This window comes from Homo sapiens, chromosome 1 (assembly GCF_000001405.40).
Source record: "Homo sapiens chromosome 1, GRCh38.p14 Primary Assembly".
Taxonomy (NCBI): domain Eukaryota; kingdom Metazoa; phylum Chordata; class Mammalia; order Primates; family Hominidae; genus Homo; species Homo sapiens.
This window is the reverse complement of record NC_000001.11, coordinates 246,837,967-246,860,795: the sequence shown is the minus strand read 5'-3', so window position 1 is coordinate 246,860,795 and position 22,829 is coordinate 246,837,967. Positions and strand designations below refer to the sequence as shown.

General features: G+C 38.3%; 1 protein-coding gene across 9 annotated transcripts in view, besides 1 other annotated feature; it reads left to right on the top strand.

Annotated features, from left to right (window-relative positions):
- Positions 1–21,698, top strand: part of AHCTF1 (AT-hook containing transcription factor 1) — a 92,851-nt gene extending 71,153 nt beyond the window's left edge. For 3 of the 9 annotated variants that reach the window (NM_001323342.2, NM_015446.5, NM_001410950.1), the window contains exons 30-36: positions 2,982–3,105; positions 4,969–5,066; positions 7,497–7,705; positions 9,354–11,181; positions 16,868–17,001; positions 18,020–18,102; positions 19,798–21,698. In NM_001323342.2, coding sequence (NP_001310271.1) covers positions 2,982–3,105; positions 4,969–5,066; positions 7,497–7,705; positions 9,354–11,181; positions 16,868–17,001; positions 18,020–18,102; positions 19,798–19,990 — 2,669 coding nt within the window. In that variant the 3' untranslated portion in view covers positions 19,991–21,698. Of the gene's footprint in view, positions 1–2,981; positions 3,106–4,968; positions 5,067–7,496; positions 7,706–8,757; positions 8,892–9,353; positions 11,182–16,867; positions 17,002–18,019; positions 18,103–19,797 lie in introns of those variants that run through there. The other 6 variants (NM_001323343.2, XM_011544156.3, NR_136586.2 and 3 more) reach the window with 5 other exon arrangements.
- Positions 21,703–21,903: a silencer, noted in NCBI's record as "peak824 fragment used in MPRA reporter construct". NCBI's record gives its function as "represses an SCP1 promoter by STARR-seq MPRAs in K562 erythroleukemia cells {active_cell/tissue: K562}" and the evidence as "EXISTENCE:reporter gene assay evidence [ECO:0000049][PMID:32103011]".

The window sequence follows — 22,829 nt, the reverse complement described above, 5'->3', positions numbered from 1 at the left end:
GTGGCTCATGCTAGTTAATCTCAGCACTTTGGGAGGCTGAGGCTGGAGGATTGCTTGAGCCCAGGAGTTCAAGACCAGCCTGGTCAACATAGCGAGGCCCTGTCTTTACAAAATAGAAATTTAAAAATTAGCCAGGCATGGTGGGAGTGTTCAGAAGTTTGAAACCTCAGTGAGTCATGATTGCACCACTGTACTTTAGCCTGCGTGACAGAGCAAGACCCTATCTCAGAAGGAAAGCATGAGAGTTAAATATTATATGCTCACAGTATACTAGTTCCTAGACATAATGCACAGACCTTACTCCTTCAGCTTAGAAAGTGTGGCTTACATTGTTTCATGAGTAGGTACGAGATTTCAGAGGAGAACTTATGTGTTACATTTTTTATTTGGCCGTGAAATTTAGAAAAGAATAGTAACATTTAAGGAAAGAAATGTAAGATGCCATAGTCTGACTTGAAAGTCCTTCCAGTAGCTATGAGAAATAACTTTACAGAACAAATTATTGCAATTTTTATTTATTTAATTTTTGAGACAGAGTCTCACTCTGTTGCCCAGGCTGGAGTGCAGTGGCGTGATCTCGGCTCACTGCAACCTCCGCCCCCCCCCCAACCAGGTTCAAGCAGTTCTTCTGCCTCAGCCTCCAGAGTAGCTGGGACTATAGTCGCCCCCCACCATGACTGGCTAATTTTTGTATTTTTAGTAGAGACGGGGTTTCACCATATTGGCCAGGCTGGTCTCGAACTCCTGACCTCGTGATCTGCCTGCCTCGGACTCCCAGAGTGCTGGGATTACAGGCGTGAGCCACCGCGCCCTGCCAAATTATTGCAATTTTTAACTTATCCACCAGTTTTAAGTTTCTATAATTCTCAGAAATTAAGAATTTCATTCTACTCTCTGTCCTCACCTCCAAAATAATCACTGGACAATGAAAATAAATGTTCAGGCTGGGTAAAGTGGCTCACGCCTGTAATACCAGCACTTCGGGAGCCCAGGAGTTCGAGACCAGCCTAGACAACATAGGGAGACCCCATCTCTACAAAAAATATAAAAAAATTAGCTGGGCACGATAGCATGCACTTGTATTCCTAGCTACTCAGGACACTGAGAGGGGAGGATCGCTTGGACCCAGGAGGTCGAGGTTGGGGATGCAGTGAGCCGTGATTGCGCCACTGAACTCCAGCCCAGGCAAGAGAATGAGACCCTGTCTCAAAAAGAAAAAAAATATTATTTTAGTGATCAAAAAATGTTTTGAGTTCCTGAAGTATGTATTCCTGTTAGCTCCTACTGTGTTTATTCTAGGTGTTGAAGATCAAACAGTGAGTCAAGTAGAAATGGCACCTGCTCCCATGTCACACAGAGCATGGTGGACTATACTGACAAACACTTAGAATCCAGTTTGGTTAACAAGAGGGCCAGGGGAACACTAGTAAATGGGAGAGACTTCACCTAGAATTGGTGGGTCAGAAAACTGAACCTATTTGTATGTTTCTTACCCTACACACGTTTTTAACAAGGTTATTTAAAGGTAACTCCTAACTCTAAAGCTGTAAAACTACATACTTACATAAAAATCTGCATCTTAAGTAGTTTAAGATGAGAGTCCACTGAAGTTTGGACTACGATATCTTTACTTAGTAAGCATGGGCATTATTAATTACTCTAAGAACTTTAGGACCATGCCCATAAATAGCATATGTCTAGAAATTTACACTGCCTTACTTATTTGAGACAGAGTCTTGCTCTGTCGCCCAGGATGGAGTACAGTGGGGCTATTTCAGCTCCTGCAACCTCTTCTCTTGCCTCAGCCTCCCAAGTAGCTGGATTACAGGCATGCGCCACCGGTCCTGGCCTACATTGCTCTTTTGATGTGCCTTGTTCTACTAACATGTTTAAATGGTAGCTGTTAAAAGAATGTTCATAGCATTATCTTCACTGATTATTCTTACAATATTAGGCAGTCTCAAATAGAAATTTGTATTTATTTTTTTTTTTTTTTGAGACAGAGTTTCGCTCTTGTTGCCCAGGCTGGAGTGCAGTGGTGTGATCTCGGCTCACCGCAACCTCTGCCTCAGCCTCCCGAGTAGCTGGGATTACAGGCACGTGCCACCATGCCCAGCCAATTTTTGTATTATTAGAGGCGGGGTTTCACCATGTTGGCCAGGCTGGTCTCGAACTCCTGACCTCGTGATCTGCCTGCCTCAGCCTCCCAGAGTGCTGGGATTACAGGTATGAGCCTCCGTGCCTGGCCAGAAATCTTTATTGTGTTTGTGGTGGGTGGGGTTTCATACAACACAAACTCTATAGTGAAGCTAGATTTGAATCCTAGCTCAGCTACTTACTGAGTATGCGTCATGAGCTGGGATACGCAGTATAACCTTAGGCTTCAGTTTTCTTATCTACTTTTTTTGAATGTTGAGGATTAAGTAAGTTAATGTATATAAAACAGTTGCATTAGTGCCTGTTCAGCAAAAAGTGAAAAGCGAGAGGTTAAGGGGGGCTCTTGAGCTAGGTTCAGAGAATTAGAAGAAGAAGGTGTTGGCCGGGTGCAGTGGCTCATGCCTGTAATCCCAGCACTTTGGGAGGCCCAGGTGGGTGGATCACGAGGTCAGGAGATCGAGACCATCCTGGCTAAAACAGTGAAACCCCGTCTCTACTAAAAATACAAAAAATCAGCAGGGCATGGTGGCGGGCATCTGTAGTGCCAGCTACTCGGGGGGCGGAGGCAGGAGAATGGCGTGAACCTGGGAGGCAGAGCTTGCAGTGAGCCAAGATAGCGCCACTGCACTCCAGCCTGGGCGACACAGCAAGACTCCATCTCAAAAAAAAAAAAAGAAGAAAGTGTTAGCAGTCTGATAACACAGCAGCAAACCTAAAAGAACAAAAAAGCAGACCCAACAACTTTTTAAAAAGTAATAATGCAAGACTATCAGTAATCACTAAATATTTAGCATAAATAATATTCTTATTTGTATGACTTATAGGCAATTTAGAAGATGCAGAAACAAAGGATCTCTTAGTTGCAGCAGAGGCATTTTCAGAATTGAATCACTTAAGCCCGGTTCAAGGAACTGAAGCTTCTCTTTGTGCACCATCAGTCTATGAAGGGTAAGTTAATGGAGAGAAATTCAAATACTTTTAGAAAGAAGTTTAATGAAATTATGAACCAGAAGTAAAATATTCTGTGCATGTTAGATTTCACTTAGATCTTTAACATCTCCATTTTGGTAATGTTGGCTGTTTTAAAAGAAGTTTAGTTGTGCAGTTATATGTCATTTAGTAGTTACTATAAAGTTTCGGAAATATACAGAGACACGGTAAATTGAGGCAGAACTCTGGTGATTCTGTTTTTGTTGAAGACCAAGATTTCGCTCACAGCTGTGCATACCTCCATGCCCTCTGCTTTCCAGTGGTTTCAGGATGATCAGGCACAAGACTCTTGTAGGTAGACACAGTAGAGCACAGGGGAGATGACAGACAGTTTTATTTCCTTCCATTTGTTCAATACATGACTCTAAGTTTGTGTTTTTTAACGACCATTTGAAACATACTCCCAAATAATTTTCATTGACACTTTACCAGATGACGTATTCAAAGTATGGTCAAGCAGATTGGTGAGAGTGTCAGTTTATGTTCTGCAACAAGATAAACAGCCTGCCTTGGAATATAGATAAGTGCACTGCCTCCTTTACGGAAAGTCAGCTGTACTAATCAGTATGATTAGTGAAGCAATTGATTCACCTTCTGGCAAGAGGTCCTTGTCTCATTGCGAGACTGACACAGATTGCATGTCCGCACTTTTGAATAACACCGTTGTAGAGGATACAAAAAAGGGACAGCTTCAGTTATCAAGTAGTAGTAAGGGTGATTCAGTAAAATTAACCGACACAAAATATAACTTACAACATTATAAATGGTTCGTTACTTTATACATAATGAAAGGGACTTACCAGACCACCTATACAATTCAGTATCATGATAGTCACCCCTTGTACCTTGAACTAAATCACATGCTTTACGCCTGAGAAATCTAGATTAGCTGGAATTTTTGCCAGGCCTGCATGGAAAAAGTAGAAGCCAGTATGAAAGGATTATCCAAATTATTTTTTCATTGTAATGTTTTTTGAATTTTAATGAAAACTAATGTTATTTATTGCAATGGCTTTCATGGATAATTGCAAAGCAAAGAGCAGTCGCATGAGAAGGAATCACATGAGAGTTACCAGCATGAGAAGGAATCACATGAGAGTTACCAGTGAGAACCTGGGTGCATATTCACTATCTTGGCTAACTAGTTCCTTTTAAAATATAAGCTTATTTGATATTTTGTGGTGATGTATCACTGTTACTTTTATGGTAAAATCTATAAATGTTTCAAATACCTTTTTATTGAATTTACTTTCAAATACTATTTGTTGTAATTTTCAAAATTAGCATGCTTTAATTGGGTTTTGAGAAAGGTCAGATTAGAATATTAAAGGAACACTGTCATCATATTCCAGGATTTATTTTCATGTGGATTAATACAGGTTTCATTGGTCTCTTATTCTGAGTCATTTATCATACTTTTTCTAGGTAGCATTAAAATATTGAACCTTGCCTCTACTGAGTTCATAGAAAATATTCCAGAATACTTGACAGACTTATTTGAAGACTGGCCACAGATTATTAAAAATTGGCTTAAATATAATGTATACTGACAGGCATTTTAAAATCATTTCATTTCTACTTTAAGGCCATGCCATTGTTGCCAAAAGAGTAAAACATTAGAAAATGGGTAAAACAAGTACAGCATTGTTTCTGAATTCACTTTTAAATTTTATATTATTGTTCAGAATGAGCTTGAGTTGTATTGAATTCTCTGAACCTCAGTTTACATCACCAAAATGACAGGTTAGGTGGTAGGACTAAAGCAGGTTAAAGCAGATGGGATCTTCTTACACACTAAGGTATGTATTTCTTTTTCTAAAGGAAAATCTTCACCCAGAAGTCCAAGGTACCAGTGTTGGACGAAGGATTAACATCTGTTGAAACCTACACCCCTGCAATTAGAGCAAATGACAATAAATGTATGTATAATAATTTTGACTTCAGGATTATTCCATTTTTGTGTTTTGAGTGAAGAGTTTTCTGTTCTTAGAACAAAATAATCTATTGTGTTATTCAGATTTTTCCTCCTCAGTTATTCCTCTCTCTGGTCAGCTTTCCTGGTGTAGAAGTATTCTAAGGAGATATATAAGCTGTCAGACAGTGGGTTGCTTGTAAGGCATTCTGTGGCTCTAATATTCAAAGTCTTAGATTACTAGTCCACAGCCAAATGCATCCCTGCCGTTTGATCTTCTTGGACTCAGAAGAGTTATTTCGTGTTTGTTTGTGATAACTTAAGGCCAAGGTTGACTTTTCATTATTAGAAAATAATCACAAATGACTGAATATTCTCCAGGGAAATTAACAAATATATGGAATTTTTTTTTTAATCCAATGAGCATTTTTGTGAAGGCCTATTCTCAGTTAGGCCCTGGCTATACAGAGATGAGGAAGATAGGATTTTCTTAAGGAGCTTACAGTTGGATTCAGGGGAAGCAGACACCTTGAATGTCTATGCCCAGAATTGGTCTGATCATCTTGTGTCTATTAACTCATTTAATCCTCACAGCACTATACTATGACATAGTTGTTATCTGACTCTAGAGCCCATGCTCTCAACTGTTATGCCTTTGTTCCTGGTACATTATGAATGGGGTATACGGCAAGCTTCAGCAGACTAGTTTTTGTCCCATGATTAAGGTAATACATGATTATGGAGTAATCCAGAGAGAATTGTCTAACATGTAAAAAGCCGATCACCCATTTTAGGGGTCCATAATTAACCATTTAAAGTGTCTTTCCTGAATTTTTGTTTTCTGTGCCCATTTCTCCCGATATGTTGGAAGAGGAGACAAGACGGTGCCTGAAGAGTGCAGGGGGCTGAACCCGAATGTGTGGGTTCCTAACCCAGTTCTGCACTTCCCAGTTCTGCACTTAAGGGCTGTGTCTCTATTTTTTTTTGTTGGTAAAATATTAATAGTTTTAAATGGGAATATTAATAAGACCCATTTCCTAGAGTTGTCAGGATTAAGCCCCTTGCATGTAAAGTGTTTTGTGTAGCGCTTGGTACCTGAAGTTTAGTAAATGTTAGCTGTTAGAAATGATCATTATCAAAAAAGCAACTTTCTTTTCTCATGTAATATATTTAAGACATTTTTTCTGTCAGGAATATAGATTAATCCTGTTCTTTTTAACAGCTCTAATAGTGTTTTGTAGTGTAGATGTTACATGCTTAACTAATTGCTTATTGCTGAACATTTGGGCCAATCACCATTTTGGGGTTTGTTTTGCTGTTTCTGCAGTGAATATTCTTGTGCACATTACATTCTATGTCAGTATTTCTTTCGGGTAGATTCCTAACCATGGACTTGTTGGGTCCAGAAGTATGTACAGATTTTTTTTTTTTTTTTTTTGAAACAGAGTCTCGCTCTGTCACCCAGGCTAGAGTGCAGTGGTGCAATCTCGGCTCACTGCAAGCTCCGCCTCCCAGGCTCACGCTATTCTCCTGCCTCAGTCTCCCGAGTAGCTGGGACTACAGGTGCCCGCCACCACGCCTGGCTAATTTTTTGTATTTTTAGTGGAGACAGGGTTTCACCGTGTTAGCCAGGGTGGTCTCGATCTCCTGACCTCATGATCCACCTGCCTTGGCCTCCCAAAGTGCTAGGATTACAGGCGTGAGCCACTGCGCCCAGCCAGATTTTTAATATTTTATTGTTGTATCCAATAAAGTTTGTATACTACTTTTATGTATTTGATGAGAAGCCTGTAAAGTGGTTTTTCGTCGTCCTCTTTTTGCCAAACAGGAAAACATTTTTCATTTTGTTTTATTAGTATCCACATGTTAGGGATAATAGCCCCATTTTCCATTGAAAGTGTAGAAATATTTTTTCCTAGTTCATCTTTTATTTTTGTGCTTTTTTATTGATGTTTTGTTGTTGTTAAACACTAAAGGATTTTAAAGTAGTAGAGTACATTTGTACCTATTTGAATGCTTTCTGCCAAAAGAGATTCATTCTTTATCCTAGTTGTATCAAAGCCCAGATTGCATGTTCCTCATGTAATTCTGTAATTACTCTACAAGGATAGCTGGTTGTCTGGTAGTCACCTGGTGAATACAGTTTCAGATTAATAAGGAACAAGCACCTGAACTTCCTTGAAGCAGTTGGTCGTCATATTAATGTTTCCTGATACCGTTTATCAGTTATCATTTTTAAATGTGAAATTTACCTTTTTCTGTTTTATCTCTGTGGAAAGGTGTGTATTGTTTAAGAAGTTGCAGACTTTTCTGGCATTGTGATAGTTTATTAATACACTATTCAAGTGCAGTGTAGCCTTTTCCTTTCTGTTTGCTTCCTTGTGTGTGGATTTATTTTTCAGTTTAAATGTAAAAAATTCACTCATTTTTCTTTCAGCTATGGCTGATGTCCTTGGTGATGGTGGAAACTCCTCGCTCACTATCTCTGAAGGTCCTATTGTCTCTGAGCGCAGGCTTAACCAGGAAGTAGCGCTGAACTTAAAAGAAGATCATGAAGTAGAAGTTGGTGTACTAAAAGAAAGTGTTGACTTACCAGAAGAAAAGCTTCCAATTTCTGACAGCCCTCCTGATACTCAAGAAATTCATGTAAAAAAAATTAATTTTTTACTTCTTTATCAGTCTTTCAGTTTTGGTTTAGTTGTTTCAAGACACAGTAGTTCAAATCTAACACGTTCATTTATTTGACTGCTATATAAAAACTTATTTATAAAAATATGGGTTCAAAAAATAAGTGTATAAATCTTTTGTGGAATATAAAAACACATCCTTTAATAAATCAACCTTGGAGGTGGGTGCTGTGGCGGGTGCCCATAGTCCCAGCTACTTGGGAGTTTGAGGAGGGAGGATCCTTGAGCCCAAGAGTTTGAGACCAGCCTGGGCAACATAACAAAATCCTGTCTCAGGGAAAAAATAAATAAATAAATAAACTGGTTTTCATGAAAGCCAAAAGGAAGTGTTAAAGAAGCCATAGTTTTATCAAGTTAATTTTTGCTGATCTGGTTCAAATGAAAGGTTTTTTTAGTCATAAGATCATATATTTGAAAATATATGGATACAGTTACACAGGATTGACACCCCCGCCCCATGCATCCTTGTGGGAGAATGATAGTCAACTGGCTGGTGTTGAACATCTGTACACTCTGAAAATAACTTTTTGCTACTTAATAAGACTTAGTTTTTTTAAAAAAAAAATTCTATTATACCAAATCTTTTATTACCAGCAGGCAACTTTTATGTAATAAATTTTAAGATAAAAAACCAACTCTTCTAATTATTTATAGAAATTTGGATAAAAAACCAACTCTTCTAATTATTTATAGAAATTTGTTTAGGATTTGGGAAGTTTCTTAACTCATAAAAATGTCATCGTTATCCATACTCATCTTAATGAGTATTCCCACTGCCAAATAGATGAGTAAAGTTCCAGTTCTTTTAGTTGGGAAGCTAATAAGAGTTGTGGGTATGGTGTAAGTGGGAATCCTAATTTCTAGGTTATTTCCAATCTGTCATCTCACTGAATGTTTGGGGAGTGGGAAAATGTCATTGTCTAGGTGGGTGGTAATGTTCTACCTTCTTGGTCAGGAGATCTCTCTGTTACTTTCTACCTCCTCCTTTTTCTCCCCTTCCCTTACCAAAAGGTAATTGCAAGGACCATTCCTTCTTCCACCAAACCCTTGCAGGAGAGGTACTGAACTTGAAAGCCTTAGGAATTTCATGGTTTATGCAGCCCCAGCAAAGGGAAGAGGATTGAGTCTAGCCCAAGGGAGCTTATGTAGGTGAATTGTTCTTCAACCTTACGGGGATCGTGCTATTTAGAAAAGTGTGGATAGTTAGGTAATTTGGGGAATACCATTAAAACACAGTTTGGGGGTTGTTTCTGTTTTTTCCGGTTAATTTTTTTTCTTGGGTGAGAATAGAATAAGTCCTTAAATGTTTTCAGAACTGTTAGCATCATAATTTTCAAGCTTTTGTTGACTGTCTTTTTAGCTAGGGAAATGTAGAATTTCTAGTTAAATTTCAGTCATAATCTCAAAATGTAGTTATTTTGACTGAATGAGAAAGTCTGATTGCTTAAAGGGATAATTTTGTAAAGTAAACCCATAAGTATATGCCATATTAAATATAATTTATGTTTTAAAAGGCACACAGCCAAGGGTCATCAAAAACCTGTGTGCTTCAAGTTAAAACATGTATTAAAATTCTTTAACCAGTCTCTTATCTTTAATTCATTTAGGTGATTGAACAAGAAAAGCTTGAAGCTCAAGATTCAGGAGAAGAGGCTAGGAATCTTTCATTTAATGAGTTATATCCCTCTGGAACACTTAAGCTTCAGTACAATTTTGATACTATTGACCAACAGTTTTGTGACTTAGCTGATAACAAAGACACTGCTGAATGTGACATTGCTGAAGTAGATGGGGAACTTTTTGTGGCTCAAAGCAACTTTACCTTGATATTGGAAGGTGAAGAAGGAGAAGTTGAGCCAGGTGATTTTGCATCATCTGATGTGTTACCTAAAGCAGCTAACACAGCAACTGAAGAAAAACTTGTATGCAGTGGGGAAAATGATAATCATGGACAAATTGCAAATTTGCCATCTGCCGTAACTAGTGACCAAAAGTCCCAAAAAGTAGACACTTTACCATATGTGCCTGAACCTATTAAAGTAGCAATTGCAGAAAATTTACTAGATGTAATTAAAGACACAAGAAGTAAAGAAATTACTTCAGATACAATGGAACAGTCCATTCATGAAACAATACCTTTAGTGAGCCAAAACATAATGTGTCCCACTAAATTGGTCAAATCTGCATTTAAGACTGCTCAGGAAACAAGCACAATGACTATGAATGTCAGCCAGGTTGATGACGTGGTTTCCTCCAAAACTCGTACGAGAGGTCAACGTATCCAAAACGTGAATGTCAAATCAGCACAACAGGAAGCATCAGCAGATGTTGCTACTCCTAAGATGCCAGGGCAGTCAGTCAGGAAGAAAACTAGGAAGGCAAAAGAAATTTCTGAAGCTTCTGAAAACATCTATTCTGATGTCAGAGGACTATCTCAGAACCAGCAAATACCTCAAAATTCTGTTACGCCTAGGAGAGGAAGGAGAAAGAAAGAAGTTAATCAGGACATACTAGAAAACACCAGTTCTGTGGAACAAGAATTACAGATCACTACAGGTAGGGAATCAAAAAGATTAAAATCATCTCAGCTGTTGGAACCAGCAGTTGAAGAAACTACTAAAAAAGAAGTTAAGGTTTCATCTGTTACAAAAAGGACTCCTAGAAGAATTAAAAGATCTGTAGAAAATCAGGAAAGTGTTGAAATTATAAATGATCTAAAAGTTAGTACGGTAACAAGTCCTAGCAGAATGATCAGAAAATTGAGAAGTACTAATTTAGATGCTTCTGAAAATACAGGAAATAAGCAAGATGATAAATCCAGTGACAAGCAGCTGCGTATTAAACATGTTAGAAGGGTCAGAGGGAGAGAAGTTAGTCCATCAGATGTGAGAGAAGACTCCAACCTTGAGTCATCTCAGTTGACTGTTCAAGCAGAATTTGATATGTCTGCCATACCTAGAAAACGTGGTAGACCAAGAAAAATCAATCCATCTGAAGATGTAGGATCTAAGGCTGTTAAGGAAGAGAGAAGCCCCAAGAAGAAAGAAGCTCCCAGCATTAGAAGGAGATCTACAAGAAATACCCCAGCTAAAAGTGAAAATGTTGATGTTGGAAAACCAGCTTTAGGAAAATCCATTTTAGTGCCAAACGAGGAACTTTCGATGGTGATGAGCTCTAAGAAAAAACTTACAAAAAAGACTGAAAGTCAAAGCCAAAAACGTTCATTGCACTCAGTATCAGAAGAACGCACAGATGAAATGACACATAAAGAAACAAATGAGCAGGAAGAAAGATTGCTCGCCACAGCTTCCTTCACTAAATCATCCCGCAGCAGCAGGACTCGGTCTAGCAAGGCCATCTTGTTGCCGGACCTTTCTGAACCAAACAATGAGCCTTTATTTTCTCCAGCGTCAGAAGTTCCAAGGAAAGCAAAAGGTACTTTTCTTTCTCTGCAAAACAGTTTTTCATCTCAGTCACTCTTCAGCTTAAAATTTGGTTATTTGTCCTAAAAATGGTTTTATAGGGAATTTTTCCCCTTCCCCCCTCAAACCAAAATTGATCTTTTAGTAGTAAAGTTTAAAGGTTTCATGTTTCAAAGTTTGAGTTCAGTTATTCAGTATGGTTAACATGACTTAAATCCTGTAACTCACGTAACAGATTTATTTTTTAGAATAGTGTAATTTCTCTTCTGTGAGTTTTATAAATTATAAGTGACTTTTAATTAAGTTTCTTCCAAAATAGTCAATATTTTTAATCTCCCATGTACTGCTGCATTTGGCTCACACCCCAGTGATATCCACAACCCGAAATTGTTTTGAAGGGAAACACCAGTAGCTTTTTACTAAGATACAGAAATTATTTCAATCCATATTCACTATTGCCCACAAACTGGCGCATCTACATGCCCTCATCTTCAGTGAGGCCATCCTTCATTGTCACGAGCTAAGGACTGTATTTGGTTGGTGTAGGTCAGAGCTTCTCAACAGGGGTGATCTCTCCCCAAAGGGAGCACATATATGCATTAAGAATACAAACAGATATACAATATATCTGCAGTAATAAAATTTTAATAGGGGGTGCTTTAAACATGTCTAAAAAGTTAAGACACTGGTGTGGCTGAATAGATCCCATCAGAGTAACTCTCTGTAAAAGTGTTAATGGTTAGGTAAACAAAATGTAGGGGGTTTGTGTTGTTTGTTTGAGGTAGAGTCTCACTCTGTCGCCCAGGCTGGAGCACAATGGCATGATCTCGGCTCACTGCAACATGTGCCCCCTGGGTTCAAGGGATTCTCCTACCTCAGCCTCCCTAGTAGCTGGGATTACAGGCCTGGCTAATTTTTTGTATTTGTAGAGACAGCATTTCGCCATGTTGGCCAGGCTGATCTTGAACTCCTGACCTCAAGTGATCCACCCGCCCCAGCCTCCCAAAGTGTTGGGATTACAGGCGTGAGCCACCACACCCAGCCATGTAGTTGACTATTTAAGTTACAGTTTAATATTTGAATTTCAGCAAAGCAGTTCAGGACCTTATAAATAAAGTAGATGACTTGGCCGGTCACGGTGGCTCACGCCTGTAATCCCAGCACTTTGGGAGGCCAAGGCGGGTGGATCACGAGATCAGGAGATCGAGACCATCCTGGCTAACACTACTAAAAAAAATACAAAGAAATTATCCGGGCGTGGTGGCGGGCGCCTGTAGTCCCAGCTACTCGGGAGACTGAGGCAGGAGAATGGTGTGAACCTGGGAGGCAGAGCTTGCAGTGATCCAAGATTGTGCCACTGTATTCCAGCCCGGGGGGCCAAATAATAATAATAATAAATAAAGTAGATGACTTGTTGTACTGATACAGTTTGAGCCCAGGAGAATGACTCTCCCCATAACAATTGATCATTTGTCCTAAAAATGATTTGTAGCTATAGGGGATCCTCCTCTCCCCTCGTCACTCAGAAAATTTTTAATTGGATCTTCGATTTTGGTAGTATAACTTAATTTCTTCACAGTGTTAGAAAAGTGTGGTTAGACCTATGTTTTGCATGGAGGAGAATGAAATGACAGAATGTGTGATATTTTAGCCAACTTTTTTTAAGTTCATTTTATTAAGGTTTTATTAAAAAGTTAAAATGAAAAACATTTTATTGGCAGGGAGTGGCAGGAAGTCATTCACATAACTTATACACTCCTCAGGACCTGGAGGAATATAGTAACCACCAAAAGTGAGAGTTATTTTGTTAGAGCTTAGCAAACATCTCAGTAATTCTGATTTTTGTCATCTTTACCTATTTTTCATTTCTGTACCTACTAATTTTAACTTTTTTCTGTTAAACTAAAAATACCTGCAACAACATGGCCAAAAAAACCCCATCTCTACAAAAAGTACAAAAATTAGCCAGACCTGGTGGCATAGGCTTGTGGTCCCAGCTACTTGGGAGGCTGAGGCAGGAGGATCACTTGAGCCTGAGAGTTTGAGGCTGCAGTGAGCCATGATCGTGTGCCCCTGCACTCCAGCCTGGGCAACAGAGCAAGACCACGTCTCAAAACAAAAACAATACATGCCTACTTACTGAAAACTCTAAAATAGAAGTATATAATCCAGCCATCGAAAGAATCACCATTCACGTTTTCCTGTATATCGTTCCAGATACATATGTATGGTTGGTATTTAAAAACCTGCAGTTTATGTACGTGCATATATTCTGCTTTTGTCCCCCTACTTATGTCATGAGCATTTTCAGTTTTTTTTTTGTTTGTTTTTTTTTTTTGAGATGGAGTTTGGCTGTTGTTACCCAGGCTGGAGTGCAATGGTGTGATCTTGGCTCACTGCAACCTCCGCCTCCTGAGTTCAAACAATTCTCCTGCCTCAGCCTCCCCAGTAGCTGGGATTACAGGTGCTTGCCACCACGCCTGGGTCATTTTTTTGTATTTTTAGTAGAGACAGGGTTTCGCCATGTTGGCCAAGCTAGTCTCAAACGCCTGACCTCAGATAATCCACCCGCCTTGGCCTCCCAAAGTGCTGGGATTATAGGCATGAGCCACTGTGCCCAGCCTTCAGTTAATCTTAAATATTCTTCAAAATCCAACCAGCCTGGGCAACTTAGTGGGACCCCATCTCTACAAAAGAAAAATTTTTAATGATTTGGGCATGTGGTGGCTGCACCTGTAGTCCCAGCTACTTGGGAGGCTGAGGTGTGAGGATGGCTTGAGCCCGGGAGGTTGAGGTTGCAGTGAGCCATCACACCACTGTGCTCCAGCCCAGGTGACAGATTGAGATCCTGTCACCTCCCCACCCCCATCCCCCCAAAAAATATATATATGTATATGTATATATATTTCAAAATCTTAAACGTAATATTTCTTTTTTTTTCATATTGGCATTTCATCTCACAAATGTGCCACAGATTGTTTAAACCCTCTTCTGTTGGGTATTTGAATTGCTTTCAGATTTTTTAATATTAAAAATAGGCACCTGCTAGAATGAGATGATGGGATTGGAAGGGATAAGAAACTTGGGATTGAGATCTCTCATTTCTGCCACTTACTAGCTGGGCAGAAAATCATTTAACCTTTATGAGCCTTGTTTCCTCCTCCTAGAATGAATGTGGTAGTGCATACCTTACAGGGGTTCTTATGAGTATTCACTCCTTTAACAAAGCAATGACCACTCTAGGACATAGCTTCCTGTCTTCCTCTGCCCTTTATACTGTTACCATACTTTCTGTCCCTTGTGCCTATTTATATTCTAAACTTCGTTTTTACATAGGGATGCAGGTGCCGAGAAGACTGGGTATAGGTATACTATATGATTGGAAGGCTAGAGGTGGTCCTTTATTTTATTGAAACATAGCGAAGAAATTATCTTAGAATTTTGTGTTTTACTAAATGAATATGAAACTTCACATTTCATACAGCAGATATTAAGAAGGGCCTGCTATATACCTAAGGCCATACTAGATACATGACATTCATATATCGTTTGATTCCCACTTCAACCCAGTAAAGTGTAGGTACTTTTACTTCCTTCTGTCCTCATTGAGGAAACTGAAGTTCATTGAGACTGTGCACTCACATCACCCAGGGAATAAGTAAGATGTGTTGTTCTAGAGCTACTACTGCTACTACTGGCTGGTAAGAGCCAATTGTTAAATATCCAAGAACTTGTAACCCAGCCATGGTTTGCATTGGCCACAGGAGGCACATTTATACCTTAGAAATCAGCAAATGCTGCAAATCAGAGCTCTCTTTGAATTTCCAGAGTCATTTGCTAGGACACAGTTGGGTTTGAACCTAGGCCTTTTGAACTCCTTAATCCTCAAAACAAGAGATGGGTAAAGAATTGACATACACTCAAGAAAGTCTCATCTGTGCTATAATAGAAGCACATGGAAAAAATGGTGGAGGCTATTTTTGCATGTGATAGTATATTTTTGTATTTCCTTATATATTTGAAATGGAGTAGGAAAGCTTAGGTGAAGATTACGAAAAGTGAAATAAATCGTTTTTTCAGGTAGCCTAGAAGAGAGTTATAGAATGTATAATTTTCGTAGAAATACTTTTGTTCATCTGTTTCTTGAAGCCAAGAGAGAGACCACCAGTAGACCTAGCCATTGCCATTTCTGCCATTTACAAGCTGGGAGCAGAGATTATATATTTCTGATATCTGATATCAACTCTATTTTTCTTTTTTTTAAGAATCATATGCTTATATATACACCTACTGTGTACCCACAAAAAACATTTTTATATATACACCTACTGTGTACCCACAGAAAACATTTTTATATATACACCTACTGTGTACCCACAAAAAACATTTTTATATATACACCTACTGTGTACCCACAAAAAACATTTTTTTAAAGAATCATGCTCGAAAAGCAGAATTTGATAGAACTCTTGACTATCCCAGTAGCTGAAGTAACATGAACTGTGATTTTATTTCAAGGGTTTGTAAATGATATTCTTGAAATAACAAATGCAAACATCTGTAGAGCACTTACCACCTACCCTGCCACACATTGTTCTGCTTCTTTCATCCTCAGAACAACTTTGAGATAGATGCTACTATTAACCCTATTTTATAGAAACTGATGCACAGACAGGTTTAAGTTACTTGATTCTGGTCTCACAGTAAGTCCAGAAGCTGGGATTTACTCCGGCAGACTGGTTAAACTGAACTGTGCTCGTCTGTAATTATATTGATAATTGCTTTTAATATGGGGGCCCTATAGTTAAAAAAAAAAAAAAAAGTCTGTGTGGTAAATGCTTTTAATTCCTTATTTTAAACCAATTGTTGTTTAAACCATTTTTATTTTTCTATGGAATATCTTCCTGTTAGCTTTTCACTCTGTTACCCAGGCTGGAGTGCAGTGGCACAATCATGGCTCACTGTAGCCTCAGCTTCCCAGGCTCAGGTGATCCTCCTGCCTCAGCCTCCCACGTAGCTGACACCACAGGCGTGCACCACCACATTGGCTAATCTTTTAAAAATTTTTTGTAGAGACAGGGCTCTCACTTTGTTGATCAGGCTAGTCTTGAACTCCTGGCCTTAAGCCGTCCTCCTACCTCAGCCTCCCAAAGTGCTGGAATTACAATTGTGAGCCACTGCACCTGGCACTTTCTCCTTTTGTGGAGATGAACTTTTCTGTTCCTTTGGCTGGAACAAGTAGTTCAAAATGAGGTGGCTAGAAAGATTTTCTCTTTTTTGAAAATAAAAAACCTACTTTGTAAATAACGTCTCTGCAATAGCAGTAGTTATGGCACAGACTAGCTCAGGTTACATATAGGATTAATGCTTTCCCTCCCCAGAATGCTTGAGGAGCAGTACGGATTAAAAGAAATAGACTAAACAGTTCTGTACCTGCTTTCATGGCCTGTCTTTATATTGTAGCACTTTTTAGTTTGAAGCATTCAATCGTCCTACACATTTGGCTTACCCAAATGATGCTGGGATTTTTCTGTCGTTTCTCTGCCAACATGGATACTTAGGTTGCAATACTAATGGTTTCCAGGTTTGGGGACGTTTGCATCTTTCTAAAACACATAATTTGTTCCAGGTTTTTATTGTGTTTATATATATACACACATATATAAAGATACAGATACAGTTTTTTCAACTTTTTTTAGCTAAAAAAATAGAGGTTCCTGCACAGCTGAAAGAATTAGTTTCGGATTTATCTTCTCAGTTTGTCATCTCACCTCCTGCTTTAAGGAGCAGACAAAAAAACACATCCAATAAGAACAAGCTTGAAGATGAACTGGTAAGAAATGCATGATTTTATTTGTATGTTTGTTAAAACATACTTTTTTTTTTTACAAATGTTTTAATAAAATTATTTTATTTAAATTTTAATGATTTTAAATTTTGTTTATTATTTAAATAAATGTCTTAAAGATAACAGTCATGCATACCAAAAGCCAAAAATGGTCGTATCCACCCCTTTGGAGGCCTCCTACCTTTAAGACACATCTGTGGTATGCTACTGATCATATTTTACCAGCAGTTACAGTTTAAATTACCTGTTTGTGGAAGGGTTTTTAAATTCTAGTGTCCATCAGAATTACCTGGGTGTTTTTTAAAGAAATAGTTGAGGGATTGAGTGCGAGTCCCTTAAGTTTATAAATGTTAATTCATAAGCATTTATTGAATTATCTGCCATGAGTCTGCTACTCTGCAAGGGCAAATTACACAAGAATAATTCAGGCAAATTCCTTGTCTGTCAGGCACCTACAGTTCAACTGAGATACACAGTTTCATTGAAGAGATGAAAACAATTACTTCAAATACTTTATAGACCGAGGTTAGAGGAGACAGGCATTCCTCCCAACAGAGTAAATGGCAGACGCAAAGGCTCAGAGCATGGCAATGGCAGGCAGATGAGGAGTGTTCATTGTGAATAGCCATGTGTGTATTACAGGTAGTCTCTATGAAAGATGAAATGTGGGTAGGAAACAATAGTCTCTGGTTGTCTACTTCTTAGAAAGTGAGAGCCTGGATCTGGACAAAGGGAGTGGGTACAGAAGGGCAGTAGACAGTGGAAACATTCAAAAATAAAACTGATGATAACTTGGAGATTAGTTGAATTGTAGGAATGAGGAATAAAGAACAGGCCTGCATAACTAAGGTTTCTACTAAAAGGTATGAGAAAAGGAGTCAATTTTGCATTTGGCGAGTTTGAATTCATCAGTGTTTGGCTCTAGTATTCCTTGTCTCAGGATAGAAGTTTTAAAATTGGATTCGTGTTTAATACTTAACCTTTTAAAATGTTTAACCCATAGAAAGATGATGCACAATCAGTAGAAACTCTGGGAAAGCCAAAAGCGAAACGAATCAGGACGTCAAAAACAAAACAAGCAAGCAAGTATGACTTTCTGTTCTGTTCTTGATTGATTGATTGATTGAGACAGTCTCGCTCTGTCCCCACCCTACTATCCTCCTTTTATTATTTTATTTTATTTTTATTTATTTTTTTTGAGACAGAGTCTCGGTCTGTCACCAAGGCTGGAGTGCAGTGGTGTGATTTCGGCTCACTGCAACCTCTGCCTCCCAGGTTCAGGTGATTCTCATGCCTCAGCCTCCCAAGTAGCTGGGACTACAGGTGCCCACCACCACACCTGGCTAATTTTTGTATTTTTAGTAGAGACGGCATTTTATCATGTTGGCCAGGCTGGTCTCAAACTCCTGGTCTCAAGTGATCCGCCTGCCTTGGCCTCCCATAGTGCTTGGATGACAGGTGTGAGCCACTGCACCCAGCCTTGTTCTGTAATTTTTATCCATTTTTTTCTCAAAATTAGATTTGAGAAGACCCTTAATTTTACGAAAAGGAAATTAAGCTCATCAGAAAAGATTATCGGGCATTTACAAGCACTGGCTCCCTGGCATTGTTAGATTTCACTGCTGAAGGTGGATTTCTTTATATATTAATAGCATGAAAGCCCAGTCCTTTTAAAAGGAACATGGGAGGTCGGGCGTGGTGGCTCACGCCTGTAATCCGAGCACTTTGGGAGGCCGAGGTGGGTGGATCACGAGTCAGGAGTTCAAGACCAGCCTGGCCAAGATGGTGAAACCCTGTCTCTACTGAAAAAAAAAAAAAAAAAAATTAGCTGGGCGTGGTGGTGGGTGCCTGTAGTCCCAGCTACTCTGGAGGCTGAGGCAGAATCACTTGAACCCAGGAGGCGGAGGTTGCAGTGAGCCAAGATCACGCCACTGCACTCCAGCCTGGGTGACAGACTGAGACTCTGTCTCAAAAAAATAGATAAATAAAAATAAAATAATAAAAGGAGGATGGTAGGGTGGGGGCAGTTTAGTTCCCAATGGATATTTCTGGTTTTTGCAGAAAAAGTAGGAAAGGGAAGTGGGATGGTTTACCTCTTTGTCAGGAAAGTTAGGTAACTATTAGTAAAAAACAATTATACACTTTAAAATCCTGCAATTATTTTACAGAAAGCACTAAAACTGCATGCATGGGAAGATCACTCCATTTCAGATGTATTTGTTACACAGTATCTTGTTTATGCTGTGCTTAGTAGGCATGGTTGAATTCAATAAAAGCACACGTGAATGCATTTTATTTAAGACACTATGGCTAATACCACTGTTTACATATAAACTGGCGTATCTATGTGAGAAACTCAAGTTTGTGAAATTCTGTGCATCTTTGCTAATTGCTGTGTTTGATCATTGACATTTCTGACATGCCACATGGGCCTGCGGGGCTGTCATCCCCTGGGCTGACAACTGGTACTCGGCCCGTCCTTGTAATCCAGCAGTATTTTTTCATACATTTGAAACATTTAGAGGAAAATTCAGTAATTGAATAATTGTTTGTAAATATTCTGATCGAAAATGAAAAAATTCCCCTTAATGAAACCTGAACTCTGCTTCTGATTAGCTTATATGACTTAAAGCTTCACTTCAGTTCCCTTGAAACCATTACATCTTTTATAAAATGAAAGCACTAAGCAGTCCCTAAGGTTTTTCTCAACATGTTGGGAAGCCAATTTTATTTTATAGCATAATGTGTTTATTCTTACTTGATCATATCTTTTTTTTTCAGAAACACAGAAAAAGAAAGTGCTTGGTCACCTCCTCCCATAGAAATTCGGCTGATTTCCCCCTTGGCTAGCCCAGCTGACGGAGTCAAGAGCAAACCAAGAAAAACTACAGAAGTGACAGGAACAGGTCTTGGAAGGAACAGAAAGAAACTGTCTTCCTATCCAAAGCAAATTTTACGCAGAAAAATGCTGTAATTTCTTGGGAAGATTTTAATGTACACCTATTTGTAAAGTCATCAGAATAGTGTGGATTATTAAATATCTAGTTTGGAAGAAAATAATTTATATAAATTATTGTAAATTTTTATGTAAACAGAAGGTCTTCAATAAGTAAAGTAACTCCATATGGAGTGATTGTTTCAGTCCAGGCAATTTTTCTATTTTATATTAAGACTTCATACATTTATATATGTAAATATGGCTTATTAATGGAATGTTAAATAAAATGTATACTTCACAGTCGTTTGTGTCTTGGATTTTTGAAAGGGAGGGGATATCTGTTTAAATAGTTTTATATGCTCATTGGTCTCATTTTCTCTATAATTAAAATACTAGACCAGTCTTAAAATGGGGATGATTGAAGTATTGATATTTCTTTTTACAGTTACTATTTTATAATTTATGCACTTTGATTCTGTGATTCAGATTTCTAATCAGAAAATGTATTTTTTTGTTTTTGGCTGTTACTATGTTAAAATTGAATTATGGGCATGTCATTTTGCCATCTTTGTAGTTTCACAAATTTTGTGTAATCTACCTCAAATGAATAATCCAAGTATTGGTTAACTATAATGTTGGCATCTCTTATTCGGCAAGCTTAAAGGCTCTTTAAAGTCTTAATTAGTCAAAGACTAATCCAGGTTAGATTGACCGGTTCACTGCTCACTTGCAACCTTATCAAAGGGTTTGACAAAGGGAAATGTAAAATAAATCTGTTTATGGATATTGAGTGCATCTTGTATGTGCCTAATATTGATAGGATGAGATGTCTGAACAAATTTTTATAATATTGCTGTGAAGGAGCTTGCTATTGAACCACAGAAATCCCTTAATATTCAGGTTTTAAAACTGGCAAATTCTCACAGGACCTCAGGCACAGATTATTGAGGTTGGGAGAGAGTGAGTAGATGTAGAAAAGGAGAAAAACAACACACGCCCTGTTCTCTACAGTACAACTGTGTGCAATTAAGCAATGGTACTTGATGTAGGCTCTAACACTCATCAATAAATAAGTGTTGTAAAATAATTTATAACAGGTAATCGATAGTGTGTAATGAATGGACTATTAATAATTGATTATCTAGAAACGAACTGCTTTCGTGGGCTTTTAATATTTTAATGTGAAGCATATGCAGTGTGCTTTCTGCATTTATTTTTCTACCAAATAATACAGATAATGAGAAATTGGTGAAAATGCCTACGCAAAGTGTTGACAGTGTGAAAGCAGTGCGAGTGCGGCCTTTTAGTCAGGTTAGTGATGGATGTTACGCTGCCTTGTTGAAAATTTCACTGACTTTGATTTTATTACTTTTTTAATGATAGTTATCAAACTTGTATTTAAGCTGCTTGTCATTTATGGAATATTGAACTTATTTAAATGAACTTGTTAAATGAATAAAGAGCTAAACATAATTCAGTAAACAATTCCTTTGCGCAAGTAGCACAATAAACATGGATGCAACGTATGTCAAGTTAATACTTTTTTAAACCAACGCAATTTGGTGAATATAGATGTGTGGTACCTGTTTTTAATAAGTGTACTTTTTTTCCCCCCTCCGTGAATGTAGATCATAAGCAAACAAATTGCCTGTTCTAAATGAACTTTACATATATTTTAAATGAATGTATGTACTTACGTATAAATGTCTTTATATAGCTTGAATAAAAACACTGCTCATTAAAATGTGTTGCTACAACATTTTAGGATAGCGCATGAATGATATTCTCGGACCTTGTAGCAACCATGTATCTGATGATCAAAGCATTGGTTAAACTAAGGTGCTTAGTATCATAGTAGTAAGGTAAACAATGTACTCAGAGAGATACTTAGTATCATAGTAAGGTAAATGATATACTCAGAAAGATACTTAGTATCAGTAGTAAGGTAAACAATGTACTCAGAAAGATACTTAGTATCGTAGTAAGGGAAACAATACTCAGATACTTAGTATCATAGTAGTAAGGGAAACAATATACTCAGATCAAGTATAGTTAATTCTGCCTGGATAGATCTTGAAGGCTTCCTAGATGTAGATAGAAGCATTTGAGAGGACTATAAAGGCTTTGTCAAAGGTCGATCAAGACTTGCTTGACAGAACAACATGCAAAGACCTGGTCCTGAATGGGCTACAATGGATTGACCTTATATGAGGTCTTCCCCCCGCCCCGCCCCGCCCACTTCTACAACTTGCTGCTTTTACCATTATCAATATTACTTTGTACATCTTCAGTTGGTATCAGTTCTGTCTGTCCTGTGCCTCTGTATTCATCTATATTGTGGAAAGTATTTCAACAGCTGGGCACAGCTATGTAATTATGTAACTCCAGTTGCATGTATAAGTAGGTAACTTTAAGTGTAGCTGCTATTTAAGGCTTCTAAAGTAGCATGGCTTCTAAGGCAACTGATCAAAAAATGCCAAAGAATGAATTTGTGACCAGTATATTAACTACTTTGGCCCAACCAGACCTTCAACAACAATGCAAATGGTTATTCCTGCGGTCGTTTTCACTGGCCTCTGATATTGCCAGGATGAGTAACTGCAAATAAGGATTTGTAGGGTTAGGCACTAAAACAGTCATGTATTTACAGAACCTTTAGGTTCCCTTTACAAAAAGATTGCATTTTATTCAAGTTCACCACCAAAGTTGCCAGACTAGAATAGTCTAAGCAAGGAGTAAGAAGGATGGATTCGGGAGATAGCTTGAAGGTACAGTGAGTGCTTGCTCTGTACCCACAGGGGCTATGTTCTAAGGCCCCCAGTGAATTCCTGAAACCACAGGTAGAACCTAACCCTGTATATACACTACATGTTTT